This window comes from Homo sapiens, chromosome 5 (assembly GCF_000001405.40).
Source record: "Homo sapiens chromosome 5, GRCh38.p14 Primary Assembly".
Taxonomy (NCBI): domain Eukaryota; kingdom Metazoa; phylum Chordata; class Mammalia; order Primates; family Hominidae; genus Homo; species Homo sapiens.
This window is the reverse complement of record NC_000005.10, coordinates 77,356,834-77,380,153: the sequence shown is the minus strand read 5'-3', so window position 1 is coordinate 77,380,153 and position 23,320 is coordinate 77,356,834. Positions and strand designations below refer to the sequence as shown.

Here is a 23,320-nt window from a genome sequence, read left to right as displayed (position 1 = left end):
ATTGTTTTGTTTTTGTCTCATCCTCCATTCCCCTGAATGTTATGGAAAGGGGTAAAAAACCTGGTTAAGATGAACAAAAGTACTATTCACTTAAATAATCACTGTAGCTTTAAACGTTGACTTATTAAGCACTTTTAAGACTGAACATTCTTGATCTGCAACTTCACGACAGAACTGAATGCTTTCATGTTTGTGACAAGACTGCTTTGATGAATTGGAGTCTGAATGCTGGATAAAGAGATGTGATCGCAGGAACTGAGTCATTTGAGACCCTCCCTTCATTTACATGTAATGAAATGACAGTGTGAGTGGTATAGTACAGAACGTCTTTGATCATCTTTACTCAAAAAACTTTGATGAGTATTTTCTTGAAATTAAAAGGATCTGATGCATAGATCAAAGATCTTTTCTATTTTCAAAAACCACTTGAAGATTCACTTCTCAAAATCCGCACCCAAGCAGCTCCTAAACACCGGAACAAAACACCTCTTGCAACACTCTGGGCCCCTGTCCTCAGTGACTGCCTTTACATAGCTCTCAAAGCCACCCACAAGCTGTTGCCATTTGTTTTCATGTATTCCAAGTTCTCCAAATGCTGTAGCACCAAGACAGAAAAGAAATATACATGGGTGCTGATTCTGATACTTGGTATCATACCACTTCAGTACATTTTATGAGTCTAACAGACTAAGTGCAACAGCATCTCTCCCCTTTTATCTTAATGGTAATTTAAAATGTTATTTATATCAAAGCAACATGCATTGGTTTGATATAGATGAAACTGCATATGAATTTCTAGGATTACACAAGATTAAAAAGAAAAATCCCAAGCTGTTTTTTTCCCCCAGATCATTTTCTGCATGCCAGACAAGCAGAGATTTATCTTCTTCTGCTGTTAGATATATTTTCTTTGAAAAATTTTAAGCATCATTTTCCTGTGCAATGCCAGGTCTACATCTTCAGATATTATACTGTCCCTTGGTCATAACTTCTCTTAGCTCCCAGTACTTGTGCCCACTGGCTCTACATTCTACACATATTTGCAAGAGCCTTTACAGAGAAGTACTGTCATTGTTTAGCCCAGTGATAATCATTTATGTGTCCTTATCTCACAGAAAAACACTTAATGCAAGCTACTATTCAGGCTTAAATGTTTTATCTTTTTTCTCTTGTCTAGTTTCTCTCTAATGTCTTTCAAATATCTACAATGTAAGAACCACCACACTTCATAACTTGGCCAATACTGAGTTTTCTAGTATGGAAAGATGATATATTTGTAGTTTTCAAACTTATGCATGAATCAAAATCACCTGAAGGGCTTGTTAAAACCAACTGATAGGCCCCATCCCCAGAGTTGCTGACTCAGTAGGTCTGGGTGGGGCCAAGCATTTGGATCTAAGAGTTCTCAGGTGAGGCTGAGACTTTAGTTCTGGGGCCCACCCCATTAACACATTAAGCCTTTGTATTTAAGGTGTGCTCAGTGTACCGGCGGCATTGGCAACACCTGAAGCTTGTTAGAACTACTGACTCGCAAGCTCTCTGACTACTGAATTGGAATCTACATTTTGCCATTTAATCTCCAGGTGATTCAATTACACACTACAGTTTGAGAAACACCAATAAAGTGAAAAGACCATAGGTTTTGAGAAAAGATCTTTGGTACATGCCCTTTTTTTTTTTTTTTTTTTTTTTTTTTTAGATGGAGTCTTGCTCTGTCGCCAGGCTGGAGTGCGGTGGCGCGATCTCAGTTCACTGCAACCTCTGCCTCCTGGGTTCAAGCGATTCTCCTGCCTCAGCCTCCCGAGTAGCTGGGACTACAGGTGTGTAGCACCACACCCAGCTGATTTTTGTATTTTTAGTAGAGACAGGGTTTCACCATGTTGGCCAGGATGGTCTCGATCTCTTGAGCTCATGATCCACCCGCCTCAGCCTCCCAAAGTACTGGGATTACAGGCATGAGCCGCCGTGCCCGGCCAGTACCTACATTTCTAGTTGTATAAACCTGGGGAACTTACAGAGCTTTACTAAGTCTCAGTTTCGTCATTGGTAAATGGCGACCAACACCTGCTATATTAGCATTCTCTAGACAAAGAACCAACAGGGGGTGTGTGTGTGTGTGTGTGTGTGTGTGTGTGTGTGTGTGTAGAGAGAGAGGGAGAGAGCGAGCAAGCGAGCTGAGTTTATTATATAAATTGGCTCACATGATTATGGTGGCTGAGGAGTCCCATGATACGATGTCTGCAAGTCTGAGAACCAGGGAAGGCAGTAGCATAAGTCCCGAAGTCTGAAAGCCTGAGAGCCGGGAGCACCGATGTCAGGGGAAGGAGATGATGAACGTCCCAGCTTAAGAAGCAAGGGCAAATTTGCACTTCCACTGCCTTTTTATTCTATCCAAGCCCTTGGCTTATTGGCTGGTGCCTGCCCACATTGGTGAGTGCAGATCTTCCTGTCCTCTGATTCAAATTCAGTCCACTGATTCAAATGCCAGTCTCTTTGGGAAACACCTTCCCATAAACAAGGTTTTACTGTTTTAAAGGATCTGATGCATAGACCCTTTTTCTGGGTATCTTTTTTAAGCTAGTCAAGTTGACACCTAAAACTAAGCATCACATCTACTTTTTAGGATCTAAGAGGATCAAATGAGACAATATTAGCCCGTGGCTTTTAAGCCGGTCTTTATATCAGAATCACCTGGAAGGCTTGTTAAGCCACATTGCTGGGTTCTGCACCCATCACTTGTTTCAGCAGGTTTGGGTGGGAGACTACGAATCTGCATGTTTAACAAGCTCCCAGGTGAGGCTGAAGCTGCAGGTCCGGTGCCATCCTTTGAGAAGCACGAGCCTAGCCTAATGGGGCCCAGATCATGCTGGTTCTCTTTGCCTTCTCTTTCATAGGTGTATTCTGTTTGTTGAGAATCTGGATTCAATGACATTTATATTGCTTGCTCTTTCAGGATTGATTTTAGTTTCCTTTCCTCTGAAGCTCAATGTTGAGCATATGTGGGGTGCTCTGCTGAGCGGCTAACACAAGCAGCACACTTGTCTCCTCACTTTTATGCTGTCAGTCCTCCAGCCCGTGTCCCCTTGCTGCTCAGTGACAGACACTTACATATAAACAGGGACAGAAATTTCATTTTGTTTAAAGTTTCTTGTTCTTAAAGAATTGTCAGTGACGGATGGCACTTTTCTGTGTAAACCCACATGCCTCCTAGATTATGGTCCAGAGAATAAGAGAATGAGAGAGATCCAACATTTCCCCACCCCTGTTACACTAGCACTCAACAGAGAGTCATTAAACTACTTAATGACACCAGGCCTTCATTTGCACTTGATTAGCATAAGATAGAATTGATCCTCAGGCCCAGAGCTTAGTAAATCAGGTCCCTTGAGAGCTAGTGCAGAGGCGAGGGGACAGCACAGGGAAAAATTAGTAATAACGAGAGGAATGTAAAACAGTTTTATCACTGTGTGTCCTAAGGTTCTGAAAATGCTGTTCATTAGAACTTTGTTTACATTTTGTAAACAATTACCCCCAGGAGAAAAAAGGGCATCTCTAATTAGAACCTCAACTTCTAATTCAACTCAAGAAATATTTATTGGGCCTGTGAGGCAAAGGTGGTTAGGTCCCAGTCCCTGCATTCATAGGATTTACTGTCTAATAAGGGACAAACACAGTGCTGTCACAATGAAATTATTCATTCAGCAGGTGTTTGTTGAGCATATACTATGTGCTAGGCAATTTTCTAGGCACTGGGATGTGACTGAGAACAAGAGATAAAGCTCTGGCTCTCAGCGAACTAGTTCAGAAGTGCCCAAAGACAGTATTTCCCAAAAGGTGGTGCCATGCGGTCGAGCAGTTAAAAGGTAAGTTTGGGGCATTCTCAAATTTGATACTAAATAACCTTGAATCACACATTCAAGCTACTCGCTCCTTGAAACCTGCAGCCATCCCTAGTCCTAGGTAGCCCATCTGAGGACGGATGCCACCTGTGAAGAAATCCTAGGAAATGAGACCCTTCACCTAATTTGGCCTGGGAATGCTCCACTAGAAATGAAGGCACATGGAGAAATCCCATCTCTACTAAAAATACAAAATTAGCCAGGCGTGGTGGCACATGCCTGTAATCCCAGCTACGCAGGAGGTGGAGGCAGGAGAATCGCTTGAACCTGGGAGGCGGAGGTTGCGGTGAGCCGAGACTGCACCACTGCACTCCAGCCTGGGCAACAAGGGCAAAACTCCGCCTCAAAAAAAAAAAAAAAAAAAAGAAATCAAGGCACAAAGTGAGTATTAACACTCCTGTACCCTAAAAAGGGGCAACAAAATGGATGAATTAAGCAGCATTTATAATTTTTTTAAAGTATATGTATCTCATGTGACATGAGCAGTTTTTTCCTTCCAGACACGATAAAAATGCCACCCAAGCCCACGCTGAGCGCCACTTACTAGACTACCACTGGAACTTTTCCTGAGTCCGTTAGGAATGGACTGTGAGTGGCATTTTGTGATAGCAGGCTAGCTGCAGGAGGACATTAAGGAGGGATTTAACTTTCTGGGGTGGCCTGGCTGATGGAGGGGAGATGGGCACAGGTGGCAGCAAATGCAGCCATGGGACCTATTCTCACTTTAAACAAAGAGAAGTTTGATGTCCTCTCTCCTAGCTTTTCAATTTGGCAGATTCTGGTACTATTATGCTGAAAATGTGCCAGCAAAACATAGCTGAAATTCATGTCTGAAAGCAGGAATTTAAATACTTTTTGCCAAAGTTTTGGTTCTGTCCAGGTAACAGTTTAGACTGGCCCAGCTGTCTAACCTGACCCTCCCTGCCTGGGGCGATTCATCTTGTGCCTCCAAGCAGCAGTGGTTCCCACAGTCTTGGGCCCTGGAGCTCCCTCAAGAGATAAAACTACTCCTTTTGATGCTGCAGGTGAGGTCTATCTCAGAAGAGAAGGATGGGCAGGACGCACAAAAACTGCCAGTAGAAGTCCTAGAAACACAGCTGAGAGCTTCGTTAGTGTCCACATCAGGGGCAATGGCACAGTGACTACACCATCACGTATATGGCAGCTATTGTAAAAGTTTCCTGGGAAAAACAGCTGTATCCTCTGGGAACTGTTTCAGTGTCTAAAATCCACATTAACAATGCAATTTCTCAAGAATTAGAGAACCTAGAGTTGGGTGTGTGTGTGTGTGTGTGTATCTGGTTCTGTCTGTAGTCTGTAGGCAAAGACACCTACTGACCTGCTACAGAGGGAGACAGCTGAGGCCAAGTCCTTAGGGGATTTGCCCAAAGGCACAGGATTAGCCAGAGACAGAGTGAAGGACAGAACAAGCGTGTATGCTGCCTTCTCACCGATCTTCAGTGCTCAAGATTCAATGGCAAATACTTGGGTACATAGTAGATTAAATTTTCTCTTAATTTCTTTAAAACACATGCATTTAAGGCAAAAACAGTAACCGTATTATGGGATTTATAACGTATGAGAACTGCAACATAAAGGATAAAAGGGAAGGTGGTAAATGGACTTCCAGTTTCAAAAGTTCCTATGTTTCACATGAATTGGTACCATATTAGGCTAAGTAGACTGTGTAGTTAAAGATGTATATAGTAATCCCCAGGACAACCACTTAAAAATGCCAAGAGATTTAACTAAAAAACCAATGGATAAATAAAATGGCTTTTAAAAATCGTTCAAATAATCTAAAATACCTATATAAAAGAAAATAAAAATAAAACAAAAAAAACAGATGTTAAAATGGTAGACCTGAATCCAACCATATCAATAATTACATTAGCTGTTAGTGGACTAAACATTCCAAATAAGAGGCAGATATGAATTGATTAAAAAATGAAAAGCCAATTATACACTCTCCATAAAAAATATACCTTCAATAGACACAGATTGAAAGTAAGTGGATGGGAAAAGATACATCATGCAAACAAGCATAAGAAGGCTGGAATGGCTATATTACTATCAAATCAAATACATTACAAGATAGAGAGTATCAGCCAAGTGCAGTGAGTCACACCTGTAATCCCAGCACTTTGGAAGCTGAGGCAGGTGGATCACCTGAGGTCGGGAGTTCGAGACCAGACTGACCAACATGGAGAAACCCAGTCTCTACTAAAAACACAAAATTAGCTGGGCATGGTGGCGCATGCCTGTAAATCCCAGCTACTCGGGAGGCTGAGGCAGGAGAATCGCTTGAACCTGGGAGGCAGAGGTTGCAGTGAGCTGAGATGGCACCATTGCACTCCAGCCTGCGCAACAAGAGCAAAACTCCGTCTCAAAAAAACGAAAAAATAGTATCACCAGCTATAAAGAAGAACATTTTATAATGATAAAAAGGATAGCTAATGCACTAGAATAATATTGACCAATAAAAGGAAATGAACCACTAAAATCCATTGAATGGTACACTTTAAATGGATACATTGTATGGTACGTAAATTATATTTCAATAAAGCTATTACAATAAGAAAATAAACTGATAAATGCAACAGCATGGGTGAATCTCAGAATTAGTATGCTTAGTGAAAGATGTCACAAAAAGGAGTATACACTCTCTAATTTTATTTACATAAAACCCGAGAAAATGGAAATTATTCTATAGTAATCAGTGATTGCTTGGAAATAAAGGAGGGCAAGGAGGGTCAGGAGGGAAAGAATACAAAGGGACCCAAGGAAACTCTTGGGGATATGTTGATAGATATGTTCATTATCTTGATTGTGGTGATGGCTTCATGGGTGTGTACATACAACAAAGCTCATCAAACTGTATGCTTTAAATACGTGCAGTTTAATGTATGTCAGTTATTCCTCAATGAAATTGTCAGAAAATAATAATAATGACCTGAGGTTCTACCTAAGAAGCTAGAAAAAAGGAGCAAACTAAACCAAGCTGAGTAAAAGAGATGCAGGAAATAATAAGGATAAGAACAGAAAGCAACAAAATAGAAAACAGATTAACAATAGAGAAAAGTAATAAAGCCTACAAGTTGGTTCTCCAAAAAGATCAACCAAGTTGATAAATCTCACCTAGACAGAACAATAAAAAAGAGAGAGGACACAAACACAAATAAAGAAATGAAAGAGAGGTTACACTACAAATTCTTTTTTTTTTTTTTGAGATGAAGTCTCACTCTGTCGCCCAGGCTGGAGTGCAATGGTGCAATCTCAGCTCACTGCAACCTCTTCCTCCCAGGTTAAAGTGATTCTCCTGCCTCAGCCTCTTGAGTAGCTGGGATTATAGCGGCACGCCGCTACACCCAGCTAATTTTTGTATTTTTAGCAGAGACGGTGTTTCACCATGTTGGTCAGGCTGAGTCTCAAACTCCTAACCTCGGCCTCCCAAAGAGCTGGGATTACAGGCGTGAGCCACGACACCTGGCCTTACACTACAAAGTCTACAGACATTAAAAGGATGATGAGAGGATATTATGATCCACTTTTGCCAAAAAATTTGATAGCCTAAATGAAATGGACAAATTCTCTGAAAACTACAACTCACCTGTATGGACATAAAAACAGAAAAGACTGAACTTTCCTATATTTAGGGGAAAAAAGATCTTCTTATGAAAAATCTTTCCGCATAAAAAATTCCAGGCCACGATACCTTCACAGGTGAATTCTATCATACATTTAAGGAAGTGATAACACCTGTCTTATATAAACTTGTTCGGAAAATAGAGAAGGAGGGAATATTTTCAAGATCATTTAATAGGCCAGCACAATCCTAATATACAAACCCTGATGAAGACATTATCCAAAAAACAGATAACTACAGACCAAGATTCCATCCTAAATAGATGTGAAAGACATGACTTTTTGTGTATAACATCCTAAGCAATCTATAAAGCAGCTGCTGAAACTAACAAATCCATCAAGCAAGTTCACAAGTAGAAAGCTAATTTTAAAAATCAATTTGTTGTTGTTGTTGTTGTTGTTGTTGTTTTGAGACAGAATCTCACTCTATCACCCAGGCTGGAGTGCAGTGGCACAATCTCAGCTCACTGTAACCTCTGCCTCCTGGGTTCAAGCAATTCTTGTGCCTCAGCCTCCTGAGTAGCTGGATTTACAGGTGTGCACCATCATACCTGGCTAATTTTTGTATTTTTAGTAGAGACGGGGTTTTGCCATGTTGCTAGGCTGGTCTCAAACTCCTGGCCTGAAGTGATATGCCAACCTCGGCCTCCCAAAGTGTTGGGATTACAGGCGTGAGCCACTGCACCCGGCAAAAAATCAATTGTATGTTTATGTACTGGCAGCAAACATTTAGAAAATGAACTTAGAAATCAATTCCATTTGTCACAACATCAGCAAACATAAAGTACTTTGAAATAAATTTAACAAAGATATGCAAGACTTCTATACTGAAAACTACTTAACATTGCTGAGAGACATTAAAGAAGATCCAAACAAACATAAAACTACCCCATATCATGGACTGGAAGAATCAATATCATCAAATATCAATTCTCTCCAATTGATCTACAGCATCAATGTAATCCTAAAAATAAACTCAGCAGGCTTTTGGGGGAAACATTATCAAGCTAATTCTAAAATTTATATAGAAATTGAAAGGACATAGAATACCAAATCATGCAATGTTAAGTTGAAGAACTTACATTACCTGACTTTGAGACTTACTATAAAGTAATTAAGAAAGCATGCAATATGTAGATTGACCAATAGATCAATGCAAAGAACAGAGTCCAGAAACAGATCAATATTACATACTCATTTGACTTTTGACAAAGATGTCAAAACAATCCAATGAAGAAAAGAAAGTCTTTTCAACAAATGGTGCTTGAATAATAGATATCCAAATGGAAAAATATTAAGCTTGATCCCATCTGACACCATACACAAAAACTAACTCTAGATGGATGATAGTCCTAAATGTAAAACCACTAAGTTTTTAAAGGAAAATACAAAATATCTTCCTGACTTGAGGGTAGGTAAAGTTTTCTTAGGTAGGTCACAGAAAACAACGAACATAAAATATTAACAAATTAAACTATCAAACTAAAAACTTCTTAAAATATACTGTTAAATGAATAGGAAACTCACAGAGTGAAAGTACATATGAGCAAAACATACACCTAGTAATAGACTGATGTATTCATCAGGATATATGCAGAACTAATACAACTCAATAATAAAACAACCCAATTAAAATAGCAAAGGATTTGAGTAGACACTTTACAAAAGATGACATTTAAAAAAGACCAATAGCACACGAAAAATTGTTCAACATTATTAGTCATCAGAGAAGTGCAAATTAAGACCTGCACACCTAATAAAATGGCTACAATTGTAAAGACTGGCAAACCAACTGTTGGCAAGGATGTGCAGCAACTGAATCCCTCATACATTGTTCTTGGCGATGTCAAATGCTAAAAACTACTTTGGGAGAACTGGCAGTTTCTTACAAAAGTAAACACACATTTAATCCATGACTTAGCAAATCTACTCCTAGGTATTTTCCCAAGAGAAATAAAAATATATATTCACAAAGAGACTTGTATAAGAATATTCACAGCAGCTTTATTCATAATAGCTCAAGACTGGCACCAATCTAGGTGCCCATCAATGGGAGAATGGATAAACAAACTGTGGTATATCCATGCAATAGAACAGTGCTCAGCAGTAAAAAGCAACCAAATCATATACTCAAAACCATAAATACATCTCAAAAACATTATATTGACTGAAAGAAGCCTTCCACGAATGAGTAAATACTGTGACTCCATTTAGATGAAATTCTAGAACAGGCAAAACTAATCTATGGTGGATAAAATCAGCTCAATGGTTTCTTCTGAGGACTGGGGGACAGACATTAATTGGGAAGAGGAAGAAGGACCTTCTCTGGAGTGGCAGTGATGTTCTACGTCTTCTTAGGGTTTAGGTTACAAAGGTGTATACATTTGTCAAAGGTCACACAAAGGTACACTTACCATTTGTGCATTTCTTTGTATGTTAATTTTACATAAAATGTAAGCAGATATAGAACTGTTGCTAATGATATGCACGCTAAAGGCTTTAGGAGGAAAAGTACTAATAGATGAAATTTATTTTAAAAAAACAAGATGGATTAAGGATGTACAGAGGGATGTATATTTAAAGAGATGTGATAATGCAAATATAGTAAAATGTTAACGGTAGAATCTAGGTGGTGGTTATTCAGGTGTTTACTGTAAAATTCTTTCAACTTTGCTGTATGCCTGACAATTTTCACAATAAAATGCTTGAGAAAAAATTGGCTGGAATGTGAACTGAGGGTGAGCTCTGGGTGTCTTTTTCACAATGTTTGCTTCCCCCATGACTTACAAAAAGTGGCTGAGTGTACTTCATGTTGTGAGTGGCCTGTGCCAGTGAAAACATTTGTTCAAAGGCACCACAGGGAAGGGCTGTGTAGTGGTCTCGAGGTATGATGCCAAGCTTGCACATTTTCTAGCTGTGTAACTGCTCTCTGAGTATCAGTTTCTTCATCTGCTGAATAAGGATAATACTATCTTATGGGCTTGATAAGATGATTAATTGAGACGATGCCTTTAAGACAGTCTAGGGCCTGTCCCAAAACAAACACTCAATAAAATATTATTGTATTACACTTCATTATTTTCAGATACAGCATGCCATTTCGGATCTCCTTGGATTCCTCTCTCTGCATATCTAGCCAGACGTTGGCTCTTATGTCACCTCGGTCCAGCACACCCTCATCCTCCCTGCTTCTCTTGTCCAGCAGAAACCTTCGCTCAGGGCTCTGTGATACTCCTTCCACCTTGGAATTCATGGAACAGTCAATGCCCTGCTACTCAGGTGGGGCCATTCTTTATTCTTCTTTCCATCTCACCCTTCAATACCTCACTTCAAAAACATTCTGGTTAATGTTTTGATCAAAACATCTCTTATGTCTATCTCTTCTTTTTTTTTTTTTTTTTTTTTTGAGACAGTGGACTCGCTCTGTCGCATAGGCTGGAGTGCAGTGGCATGATCTCGGCTCACTGCAACCTCCGTCTCCCAGGTTCAAGCTATTCTCCTGCCTCAGTCTCTGGAATAGCTTGGATTACAGGCCTGCACCACCACGCCCAGCTAATTTTTGTATTTTTAGTAGAGACAGGGTTTCACCATGTTGGCCAGGCTGGTCTTGAACTCCTAACCTCAGGTGATCCACCTGCTTCAGCCTCCCAAAGTGCTGGGATTACAGGCGTGAGCCACTGCGCCCAGCCTCTTCTTTTTCTTTTGTCTTTAAGATGGGGTCTAACCACACCTCTTTGCTTTTCTTTCTGTTTCCATATATCTGAGTATTGTCCACTTGACTTAATAAGAGTAGAATAGAACAGGGGCTGTCTTATTCCTTCTGTGTAGCTCATCAAGTAAGTGCCTTTCTAGTGATTGATTTATAAGACATGATGCTGGTAACCTAATTATGAATAATTTCAGGTAATCTAATTTAGTCTGAATGTATTAGTCACCTACCTAGCACCGTGTAAGGCCCTTGGGGAAAGAAGAGGTCAAGATGGAGAAGATACTGAATGCTGCCTGGGATGACCTGTGTAGTGAGACAAAACTTGGCTGAGTGCTGGGCTGTGTGACGCAGCCAGCAAGTGCAGCAGGGCTCCGAAAGGACAGTAAGCTATCGTGAAGGGAACATTCCATGAGAGGGACCAGACTTCTAGATTGCCCTTTGAATATGCAGTATACCTGGGGATCAGGAGCCAGGAGTAACAGGGTGTAAGAAGCTGAGCCTTCTACAGTGCAGGCTCCACAGGAGTCACGGGAAGGGTAAAGGATCAAGGGCTGGGACTTTAAGTCAGCAAGACAGACCTTATACACAACAGGGAGTCAGTGTAAGTTTTTAAGACAGAAATAAAAGAGTCAAGTGTTATCTTGGGGAGATGAATCTGGAAGGGGGTGCAGGATGGATTGGGAGAGGAGGAATGGCTTTAATACAGTGATTCTGGAGAAAGTGAAGATGCTTCCAAAGGAATAAGAGAGATGGATTTGAAAGACCAAACACAAAATTACACTTTCTTCTCTAAATGCTGCTACTGAAAATGGGAGGCCAAGGGTTAAGACTTCTCCAGGGAATCAAATGTTTTCCAACTTATCTCTTATTCTCACATGGGGACATATTAGTCACAAAGGCCATGCCAGCCTCATTGGCCCTGACAATCACATGCCAGAGAGATGGCCAGGGGAGCCAGTTCAGCACTGAGAACAAGTTGGGGGCTTTTGTGAAGAACGCTGCAAGTGCAGATGACTCACCCAGGTCTGTGACTCAGTGTTGCTGGAAGCCTTAGAAAACGGTAGAACTTCCCAGCTAGGCGTGGTGGCTCACGCCTGTAATCTCAGCACTTTGGGAGGCCAAGGCAGGCAGATCATGAGGTCAGGAGATTGAGACCATCCTGGCCAACATGGTGAAACCTCATCTCTACTAAAAATACAAAAATTAGCAGGGCATGGTGGTGCGTGCCTGTAGTCCCAGCTACTTGGGAGGCTGAGGCAGGAGAATCGCTTGAACCCGGGAGTCGGAGGTTGCAGTGAGTCGAGATTGCGCCCCTGCACTCCAGCCTGGTGACAGAGCGAGACTCTGTCAAAAAAAAAAAAAAAAAAAAAGAGAGAAAAAGAGAAGGAACTCCCCAGGCTTCCAGTTGGTATTTCCAGATCAAAGGTCAAGGTCATCACCAGGAAGACTAGCTGGAAAGTATGCTTTCAGCCCCAGATTAGTTCAAACACAAGGGGAAGGGATAACTTCTGCACTGGCCACTCCACAAGGGACGACACTCACTGGCTGCAGCATCTGCTTCTACACTCTCCACCACTGAATCAAGAGGAACCAGAGTGTACCCCAGGAATTCATCACAACGCTGCTCACCTTCAGCAGCTGTGAAGGAGTAACTGAATTCTGAAGACAGTGAGGAAGTTTCTCTTCCCTTTCCTTTTTATGTGAAGACATTTGTGTGTGTGTGTGTGTGTGTGTGTGTGTGTGTGTTTTGAGAAAACAATGTTTTAGCATACCCTCCTCTTTCTAAGTTTACAAATAACAGTCCACATTGTCTAAAAAGAATTTTTGAAAGGTCCATTTTCCCAACAGTTTTACCCTGTTGGCCCCATAGAAGCTAATGAGTTGAGAGGCCCCAAGGGGCCTGGACCCCCTTGGTCATCATCAGCTTCTGCCTCTGGAGGGCCTACTTGGGCCTGACCTTGCACATTCTCTGCACAGATGCCCCAGGGGACATCTGGACCAAAGCGCCCTTGATGGCCACCGGGGGGCTGCCATCCAGGAGCAAGGCCTAGAGCCCCGAAGCCCCTAGAACCTTTGGTTGGATGTTTTAAAGATGTTGCAGTTTTTAATGTCACTTTAAATTCCTAATATAGAACATGTCTCTGGGGCCACTGTTCAGACAATTCCCTCTGAGGGACAACATTCATCAGAAGATGAAAGAACATACATAGGCCCCGCTCTGGCCTCATGGAGCTGCTGCAGGCCAGGCAGACCCCCACACACCCACGAGGCTGTATTTCCACAGCAGTGAGTTCCCCAAGCATAGGCGCCAAGGTTCTTAGGCACAGAGGAAGAGCCCCTGACAGCAGTGGAGCAGTGGTGATCTGCCCTCTAATGCAAAAAGCTGCCCCTGCCTGAGCCTGGACCACTTGGCACAGCTGACCGACCCCAGGGCCTACTCAACAACCGCTGTCTCTGGACTCTCACCCCATGGTGATACACTGGCACATGCTTTGGATCTTACCCCTCAACTGCTTACCCAGAACACTGTGCTTCTGTGGCTAAAGGGGGCAGCCGTTTGCTGCATCTCCTGAGAGCCCAGTAGTGACAGGCAGAGAAACAAGACTTGGAGTTTTGGTGGTGCAGCGTCGCAGGGACGATGATCTATTGAAGATTTTTTTTAAAAAAAACCAAAGTTCTCATAGCCTAAAGGATGTTGGGTGAATTTTTCTAATTTCAATTAAAGCAGGAAACTGTATAAATCCCACTCACACTATTACTTCCCCTATCAAATCTCAAACCATAAAACATTAATGTGCAAGAGACATGAAAAAAACAAAAACAAAAAACAAAAAAACCCAAAAACCTGTCAGCTGAATCAGATAATGGGGCTTGGGGTGTAGACTGTGGAATGAATTTTTGTTGTATTTGTCCCCAAATCTCACTGTAATCAGGAAGTAAAGTGCCTTCAGGTCAGGCCCTGCAGATAGAGGAGCTTCGGTGCCTGAAGCCAGTTCCAGGAAGAGGGCTGACTGCCCAGCACATCATCTACCCCTACGGAAGCACCTCCTGTGCACCAGGCTTCATGCTAAGTGCTGGAAACATGGCTGACAAGACAGGCAGAGCCACATCATCACAGTGCTCTCTGAGTCCAGAGAGGAGAGCAGCTTTGCCCAGGTCAGACTTCTCTTGGGCCACTGGCTGCTCTGGAAGCCCAAGCTATGCTCCAAGCTCCCTGGCCCTGACAAAGCCTGAGGAAGGGCACACACAGGCCCCTGTCTCTCAGAAACCACTGCTGCTACCCAAACACCATGGCTTCTCTCTGCCTGGATGCAAGTATTTATTCAATAGATATTTTCTGTGTGCCAGGACCTAGGAGACAGATATAAGATGATGACGATGAAGGCATGGTCCCTACCCCTGGCAGTTCCACAGTGGCCTGGTCTTCCTTGTGAGAATTATACAAAGGCCATCCTTCTATCAGCCTGCCCTAACAGGAGTTTTTGGTCAAATCAGTCTTGTCCCCCTCCAAGACATCCAGCAGGAAAGCTCCCTAGCCTAATATAACATGATCGCGCCAGATCTAATTCACTCAGAAATTTGGTGGTTCTCACCCTCAGCAGTACATCAGAATCCCCTGGGGCGCTCTCAGAAATCCTCATGCCCAGACTGCACCCCAGACCCAATCTATCAGAGCCTCTGTTTTTGTTGTTGTTGTTTTCTTTGATAATTCTCCAGGTGATTCCAATGTGCAGCCAAGGTTGGGAGCCACTATGTTAGCCCTTCCACACTCCTCCTCATCGAACACAGGTGCTGAAGGAGCTGCTGTTCCCTAGCACCAGTGGGTAGATGTGAACGTTCCTCCTGTAGGGATTTCCGCCATCAGACAGGTCCAGTGTTCCCTATGGATTACAACTGGCTTCTTATGAATCTGCCTTTTGTTTCCTTTGTAACTTGTGGGCCAAAGCTCTGCGAATAGACTTAAACTCTTTTCAACAGTTCCAGTGATCTGAAACCTTCTCACAAACCTCTACTAGACCCAAAGCAGCTTGAGAGCAGGCTCCCCCGTGCTTTCTCTTCATCGTGCCATAGTTCAGGGTTGTGTTTGCTATGAAAGTGCTCAAAAGGCACTTGCAGAACTAATGGCACCCACTGAGACCTGGCCCTTTTCTTCCTCCCCAGACCCTCGAGTACATACGTTGCAGCTGTTCAGCCTCCCATCCTGCAGCCATCTTGTTTGACTAACAAATAATGAGGAAAAGTTGAAGCCACTCCTTACATGGTGATTCTGGGTTTAGGTGCAGCTGGTCAGGATGAGTAAATGCATACTTTCTTCAGTTTCCTGGAGCTGGGCTCTGAAATCTCACCCAGGAAACCTAGCCTTCAGCAAACCAGGGTGAGAAGCGGAAGGAAGAACACTTCAAATTCTTCCTCCTCCTCACTTCTTTTTCAAGCAATGGCACTAGAGGAAACCATACCTCTTGGAATTTTGTTCTTAGAAATTATTTAAATGAGGCACCACAGAAGCGAAGATCCAGACGCTTGAGTCTAATCTTATGTGATGAACACTGCTTTGACCATGTTAGAAATAAAGGGTCCTATAGACAAAGAAGCAGGTGGTACAATGGCTGGGTTTTAGGTGCAGTTGGCTGCATACCTCCAAAGTGTGGTAGAAAGCTGAACTGAAATGCTGCAGTCAGAGCTGACATTTACTACTCCATTTACATTACTGCATGCCCAACCTTGCCCACTCCTGGACGAGGTGCTCTCATGGCCTTCAAGGAGCTACGCAGGTCTGGGCCTCCAGTTTTCCATAAAAGAGACCCAGGATTCTCCGTACAGATGCAGTTAGCTACCTCACTCTCTTAGCTTTTCACTCCAAGCTGCCCACCTGCCACTCCCTTCCATGGCACATCACGTAAACAGGCCCATCCACATGACATGATCTACTTCAGCCCAAACACCCACTGGGGTGGCTGTGGACCCTGAAGCACCTGGAGGTAGGGTATGGACTGTGGAGGAAGCCAGGCCAAGCCAGGTGGGCAGCTGAGCATCTGGGCACCAACTGTACCCTCAGCTCAAGCTCCCCTACTCTACACATTGAGGGGACCAGCCATGCTTGATTATCTCCTCTCCTGCCTTTCGTTGCCTTTTCACTTTTGCAGAGGATCTCTCCCTACAATGACATATTCTTTTTTTTTTTTTTTTCTGCGATGGAGTCTTGCTCTGTCACCCAGGCTGGAGTGTAATGGTGGGATCTCGGCTCACGGCAACCTCCGCCTCCTGGATTCAAGTGAGTCTCCTGCCTCAGCCTTCTGAGAAGCTGGGATTACAGGCACCCGCCACCATGCCCAGCTACTTTTTGTATTTTTAGTAGAGATGGGTTTTCACCATGTTGGCCAGACTGGTCTCGAACTCCTGACCTCGTGATCCGCCCACCTCGGCCTCCCAAAGTGCTGGGATTACAGACATAAGCCACCGCACCAGGCCTACAATGACATATTCTATCCACTGCTCAAACCCACGTCAGTCAACACCTCCTCTATGAAGTCATCCCCTCACTTCCCAAGCAAGGGAAACCTTTCTCTTATGAATTCTCCGAAGATACACTTGTGCTTCCTTTATTTCCATATTGCTAACTACTTTAGGGTTAGAATCCTGGTTCTGCCACACGCATCCCATGTGAAGCCTGGACAGGCTTCTTGACCACTTCAAGCCTCAGTTTCCTCATCTGTAGAAAGGGGAGCCTAGTATCTCCCTCCTGGAGTTGTGGTAAGGATTGCAGGAGTTAATGTATGAAATGCACTTGGAGAGTAACAGATACAAAGTGTCAACACGAAAGACATCTTACTTGGATTACTAAAACATAGGCTCTTCCATGAGCTCCACTGATCAAATCTTTACTAAGTGCATTCAGCAGCATCAGTGGGAGATGGGGACACAGCGACCAAGACATGATGCTGCCCTGGAGGGTCTGGTCAGGCTGAGCAGTGATAGTGTGGTCAGTGCCAAATCCACTCCACAGCGGGGAGGAGGAGAGAGGTGGCCGGGGGCAGTCACAGAGGGGGCTCCTGACCTGGCTCAGGGGACCAAGATTTTTCCAGGAGGACAGGAGGAAGGAAGAGCATGCTAGACAGAGGGAGTGACACACAGAGGCATGGCCAAGCCTGGCATGTCCAGAGAACTACAAACAGCCTAGTGTGACTTGGGAAGGTGGCAGGGAAAGCGGGGCAGGAAGTCAGGAGCGTGCTCCTCAAAGATGCCTGATGATGGTTTAGTCAGTGATGAGGAACCACCACTGAGCCCTTCACAATGAGGACTGGGGACCAGATAGGATAGTAGTCAACAGTATGCTGCTAAGAGTTTAACCACCAGCTTGCTGAAAAAGCAAAGATAGCCGAACATAAGTTTATTATACATTTTACTGATATAAAGCGGAGGTCAGGAAATTACGGTCCAGGCCATAATTTAGCATATGGCCACATAGCACATTACTATAGCTTACCATCATGTATGCTCTTGACATTACTAACACGATAGTGAACTATAGTAATGTGCTTGGGAAGGGATGGGCTGTTCTTATTATTTCTTAAACATAGCATTTGTTTAATTGCATGTTTATGTAATTTAATTTTTAATAATGGCTGGTTTAACAACTGAATCACAAAATTCCAGAAAATCAAACAATCAGTTTTCGCAAGTCAGTATGTACTGGCCACCTGTTTCTGTAAATACAATTTCATTAGAACATAGCCTTGCCCATCATTTATATATCATCTATTGCTGCTTTCCCATTACAATGGCAGAGTTGAGTTAAGCAGTTTGACAGAGACCATAAGGCCTAATGTTTACTATCTGGCCCTTTAAGAAATAAATTTCCCAATCCCTAATACAAAGAATGTATAACACACAATTTCAAAACAATATTCAAATATAAGGCACTCTTGGTTGTAGAGTCTATATAGCCAATGGATTCCCACAAAATGCTTTTGCTGGTTTTTTTGACCTCTTGTATCAGCAGCCAATTTATGGTTACAGTTAATGAATGAGTGGAGTCTTGGCATAAATGTTAGTTGATATTTTCACTTACATCAAAAAGTAAGATGAGGGCCAGGCACAGTGGCTCAAGCCTGTAATCCCAGCACTTTAGGAGGCCGAGGCGGGTGGATCACAAGGTCAGGAGATCGAGACCATCCTGGCCAACATAGTGAAACCCTATCTCTACTAAAAATACAAAAAATTAGCTGGGTGAGGTAGCGGGCGCCTGTAGTCCCAGCTACTTGGGAGGCTGAGGCGGGAGAATGGCGTGAACCTGGGAGGCGGAGCTTGCAGTGAGCCGAGATCGCGCCACTGCACTCTAGCCTGGGCAATAGAGCGAGACTCCATGTCAAAAAAAAAAAAAAAAGTAAGATGAAAGACAAATAACAAAGGTGTACATAGAAATTTCACTCATTTGTCAGTGATGTGAGGAACTTCTTTGTTGAATCAAATAATAGTTTGTAAATACTGGGGGAATCATTCTTGATATTTTTGGGTTATTCACAATGAAACTACTATAGACATGATACACATTTAAGTTTATCTTGTATTATTAACATTTTCTTCATCATTTTTTTAAGTCTAGAAAAATCAATTAAAAAAAGGTCCTGATTTGTAGAGTTTGCCAATTTTCTTGATCTAAAAATACTCCCTTCATGGCTGTTTAAAGCTGCCAGAATGATGTCACTGAATGTGGAGTTGGGAAGATGTGTGCAGGGCACAGCTTTATCTGGCATTTCCATAATACAGATAAAACAGACGTACAAATGTCAAGAGCACACATGATAGTAAAATATAGTTATGTGCTTGGGAAGGGATGGAATGTAAGTACTTATTACTTCTTACAAATAAAATTTGCTTAAATGCATGCTTATATAATTTAATTTTTAATAATGGCTGGTTTAACACTAAATCACAAAATACCAGAAAATTAAACAATCAGTTCTCACAAGTCAGTATGAACTGGCTCCAGCACACATTACAAGGAGGCAGAGGGAGTGGTCATGAGGCTCTGTAGGATGAGAGGTCATAATGGCTTAAAGGAAGTGGTGGTGGGTTGGGAAGTGGGCATGGAGTCAAGAGTTGTTTCAAAGACATCACCTTTGGAACTAAGTGGCTTCTAGGATGCAGGGGGCTCAGGAAAGCAAGGATGCTAAAGGTGGTTCCCAGGTTAGGATGGGGGTGACTGGGTAAATGGGGGTCTCATTAGCCAAGCCAGGGATTCTATTCTAGCAAGAGCAGATGCAAGGAGTGACTTCAGTCTCATCCATCCTGTATCTTCCACTGGGCCAAGTGCCAGCAGGCATGCATGCTCACTGAATGGATGATTTAGGTTGAGCAAAATGCCAGAAACTGATTCCTTCATGTGAGGTGAATAATTCCTTCTGAAAAGTCAGCCACCAACTGTTGCTTTGGAAAAAGAAAATTTTCCATAGAGTGCTAACACCCATAAGTGGCCTAAAAATTGGTATATTAAGTAAAACTTTAACAGAAGTCAGGCCTAAGGTACTGTAAGTCTCTTGGGCTTAATTAGTACAAGCCTCCGGAGTGAGCAGAATCTTGTAATAGTCTGAATGACACAAGTCATGTAGAAGTGCAACCTTTGGAATTTTAAACTTATCGGGAAAAAACCCTCCTCCCAAACGCCAACATAATACTCCTCTTTAAATCCTAGTGGTCTTCAATGCATTAGAGATGAATAGATAACATTAATTTTTAAGAAATAGCTCAGCTATGTCTGTTCATTATCCATTACCAAACCTATCTTACTTTTCTTTCTTTTTTTTTTTTTTGCGATGAAGTCTCGCTGTGTCACCCAGGCTGGAGTGCAGCGGCATGATCTTGGCTTGCTACAACCTCCACCTCCTGGATTTAAGCAATTCTCCTGCCTCAGCCTCCCAAGTAGCTGGGATTACAGGTGCACCACGCCTGGCTAATTTTTGTATTTTTCGTAGAGACGGGGTTTCACCATGTTGGTCAGGCTGGTCTCAAACTCCTGACCTCGTGATCTGCCTGCCTTGGCCTCCCTAAGTGCTGGGATTATAGGCGTGAACCACTGCGCCCGGCAGTCTATCTTACTTTTCTTAAGTCAAATTATTTTTTCTCTATGTTTAGGCCTCCAGGACTGAGGCTCAGCTAAGGGTGAGGTGGGGTGGTGGGGGTCCCTGCTGAAGCTGGTTATTACTGGTGAGCAGGCATTACTGGTCTCACACAAGGAGACACTTTATTTCCAGCTCAGACCTATAGCTTCTTTCCCTCTGATTTTCCCATTCTCCACCTCCCACTTATCCCCACCATAGGGATACCTTATAAACAAACATCCATTGCCTTATAAACATCCTCGATGTAGCAGAAAGGATAGAATGAGAGAACAGACGGGTCAAAAAACCCCATCCGTGCAGGGCAGACACCCCCCAGCCTGCTGTCCTGCGGGCCATGAGGGTAAGCTTCTCTGCCAGGGCAAAGGGCACCTGTGTCTACCTGAAACTAGGCAGCCTCCTCTCACATCATGCTCAGGGTAGGTGCACATGCCCAGAATGTTATCGGTTTACCCTTTCCCTCGCAAGCCAAGAGAGCCCCCTCTCAGCTTCAGATGCTCTGGAACTTCACAGAGCCTGGCATGATCACCTCCAGCAGCCACCATCACCACCAAGCGTGAAGTTGTCTCTCCCTCCTCTAAGTCAAGACTTCTCAAACACAGAATCCTACCCCTGGATTCTCAGTACCCCCACCCCTGTCCCCTCCTCCCGGCTGCAAGCCCCTGCTTATCTTGTGCCCTCAGAGCCTCCCACAGTCCCTGATGTGTAGCAGGTATTCCATTCATGTCTGCTCGGGGGTTGGCTGTTCCAAACGTGGTTTCTCAGGAAAAAAAAATGTGGTTTCGCAATATCAGAGGCCTTTCTTTAAATAGATTCTTGTAAATACGTACTAAAGCTAAATGGAAAAATTTGGATAATTTTGTTTACCTTGTGGCTTTACCAAATATGTCAATAAATATTTTGGGGCACACAAATAAGGTGCACGTGTACAAAGTCTGTATCATAGTAATATTCCAATTACATAAAATACATTTCTGTGACTAGCTGCTTTTAGAGATAACTGCAGTCATGTTTTCAGTTGCAGTAGCCTTTTTCTCCAATTTTTAAAAAAAGAAGTCACACTTGGATGTGTGCCTTGGAAGAGTACAGAAACTATTCTTTGTAACACCATGTGAGACATATATTGGCTACATATAGATCAACTCTACATGGAATAAGAATTCGGGATAAGACAGAAGTTGCATCTTTAATTTCCTATGCCATCCAAAGGTTATTGTGTTAAGGAGTAAAAACTAGTTTTCAAAATAATTTCCTGATGTCTATGGGGCATACATAGGAGGAAGTACGAAGAGGCATAACCCACAGTCCCCGCCCTAAGGCGAGAACTCACCCAAAGCAGCATAAGATTAATGATCCAATGGGTGGTGCAGACAAAAAGTGTCCCTGCTCCCTCTTTGCAGGGTAGAGACATGGGCTGGAAGGTTTGGAAGATTTCCTGGGGGGAAGAGAAGCTGAGTTGAGTCCTAAAGGACAGGGAAGCAACAAAAGGTCCACACTATTTAAAAGCATGTAAAAGAGCCAAGTACTGGGAATTTAGGACAAATTGAAATTTTGTTTTTATCACTACTTAGCAATGAACAGAACCCCCACCACCCTCTTCTCTCAGTTCTGCTGAGAATGCCATGAGATATTAGACTCTGTTAGTGCTAAGGATCATGGTTTGCCAGAAGCTGGAGGAGAAGGCCCCAAATCATGAGAAGGCCCATCGGCCACACCACCCCTAGAAAGGTAAGGGATGAGAGAAACAGAAATGGGCAAATGTGGGGAGAGTAAAGGCATGGGGGCAGTGAAGGCCAAGGACACACCCAAGAGAAGGCTGGCCTGGCGGTGGGAACCAGAATGGGCCACCAAGGGTTGCAGGCAGCAGAAACCCATTGAGAGGATGGTCCATGAAGGTGTAAGGACTGGATGGGAAAATCTGTGGACTGTCTGGAGGCCTACAGAAGGTGACTGAAGGTAGAGTGTGGATAAAAGAGAGAAGGCAAAAGAGGGAGGAAGAAAAGAAAGATGGCGTCAGCCTGCCTCTTTCCTGTAGTACTGGGCACAAGCAACTACAGAGTCCTTGAGTCCTTGGGTCCTTGTGGGTTCAGGGGGCTGTGAGCACAGTCCTACGAGGCAAAAAAGAAATCGACCAACGGTGCTTGGTGGAGCAGCCTGTTGGTCACACTCAGACCGCACACATCTCAGACAAGGCCCATGATCCAGGACCTGCTGGGTTTGGAGAGAAGCTCCTAGATCCTGGTGAGAACTGTGGGGCAGTCTCCTCTGTGACATGCTGGTGAAGCCAGGCTGTGCCAGGAAAAAAAATCTTACTAGCTGTCAACTGGTAGCTTTGCTCTGTTCCCACAAAAGGGCAGGAGGTCATTTTAATTAGGGGAGGCTGACCATCTCCTTTAACCCATGGTTGGGAAACCCATCTCAACCCATGGCTAAAGGGTTTCTAAGCATGTGTGGTCTCTTTGAGAATAAGCCATCCCCACTTTGCTGCCCAGACAAGCAGGGATGATGACTGTGCCTAACTGTCCACTGGCCCTCACTGGCTCCCATGCATCCCACTTCTGCTTAGTTTTCTGAGGGCTGTGGTGTCCCCTTGCCTGAGTACACTCAGTAGGACATGGTACTCCCCACTGTCCACCAAGCTCTAGAAAGTGAGACCTAACTTTCTGCAGCAGTTTGAGAATGATTGAAAGGGGCCCTGCATCTCCCCGCAAAGACATTCTCTATAGGTTTGCTTAAGCACCCATCAGAATGTCCTCTAGTGAGGGTAAAAGCCTCCTAGGGGCCTGGGAAACTGGTTACAGTATCTTTTCCTGGAGGCTCAGTGAGTCTGGAGCTGACTCATTGCTAGAAACGAGAGGAAGTCTGTAGCTCATTAGCATCCCGTCACCTGCAAAAGGGCAAGTGAGGTGAATCTGTGATAGGATTTGGCAGGGTAGGGAAAGTCCAGACCA

General features: G+C 43.4%; 1 protein-coding gene across 27 annotated transcripts in view, besides 1 other annotated feature; it reads right to left on the bottom strand.

Annotated features, from left to right (window-relative positions):
• PDE8B (phosphodiesterase 8B) overlaps positions 1–23,320 on the bottom strand; it is a 341,542-nt gene that overhangs the window by 48,103 nt on the left and 270,119 nt on the right. The gene's annotated exons all lie outside the window — the stretch shown is intronic.
• Positions 2,939–3,567: an enhancer, noted in NCBI's record as "NANOG-H3K4me1 hESC enhancer chr5:76672412-76673040 (GRCh37/hg19 assembly coordinates)". NCBI's record gives its function as "activates a minimal SCP1, AML or CMV promoter by ChIP-STARR-seq in primed H9 embryonic stem cells {active_cell/tissue: H9 hESC(primed)}" and the evidence as "EXISTENCE:reporter gene assay evidence [ECO:0000049][PMID:30033119]".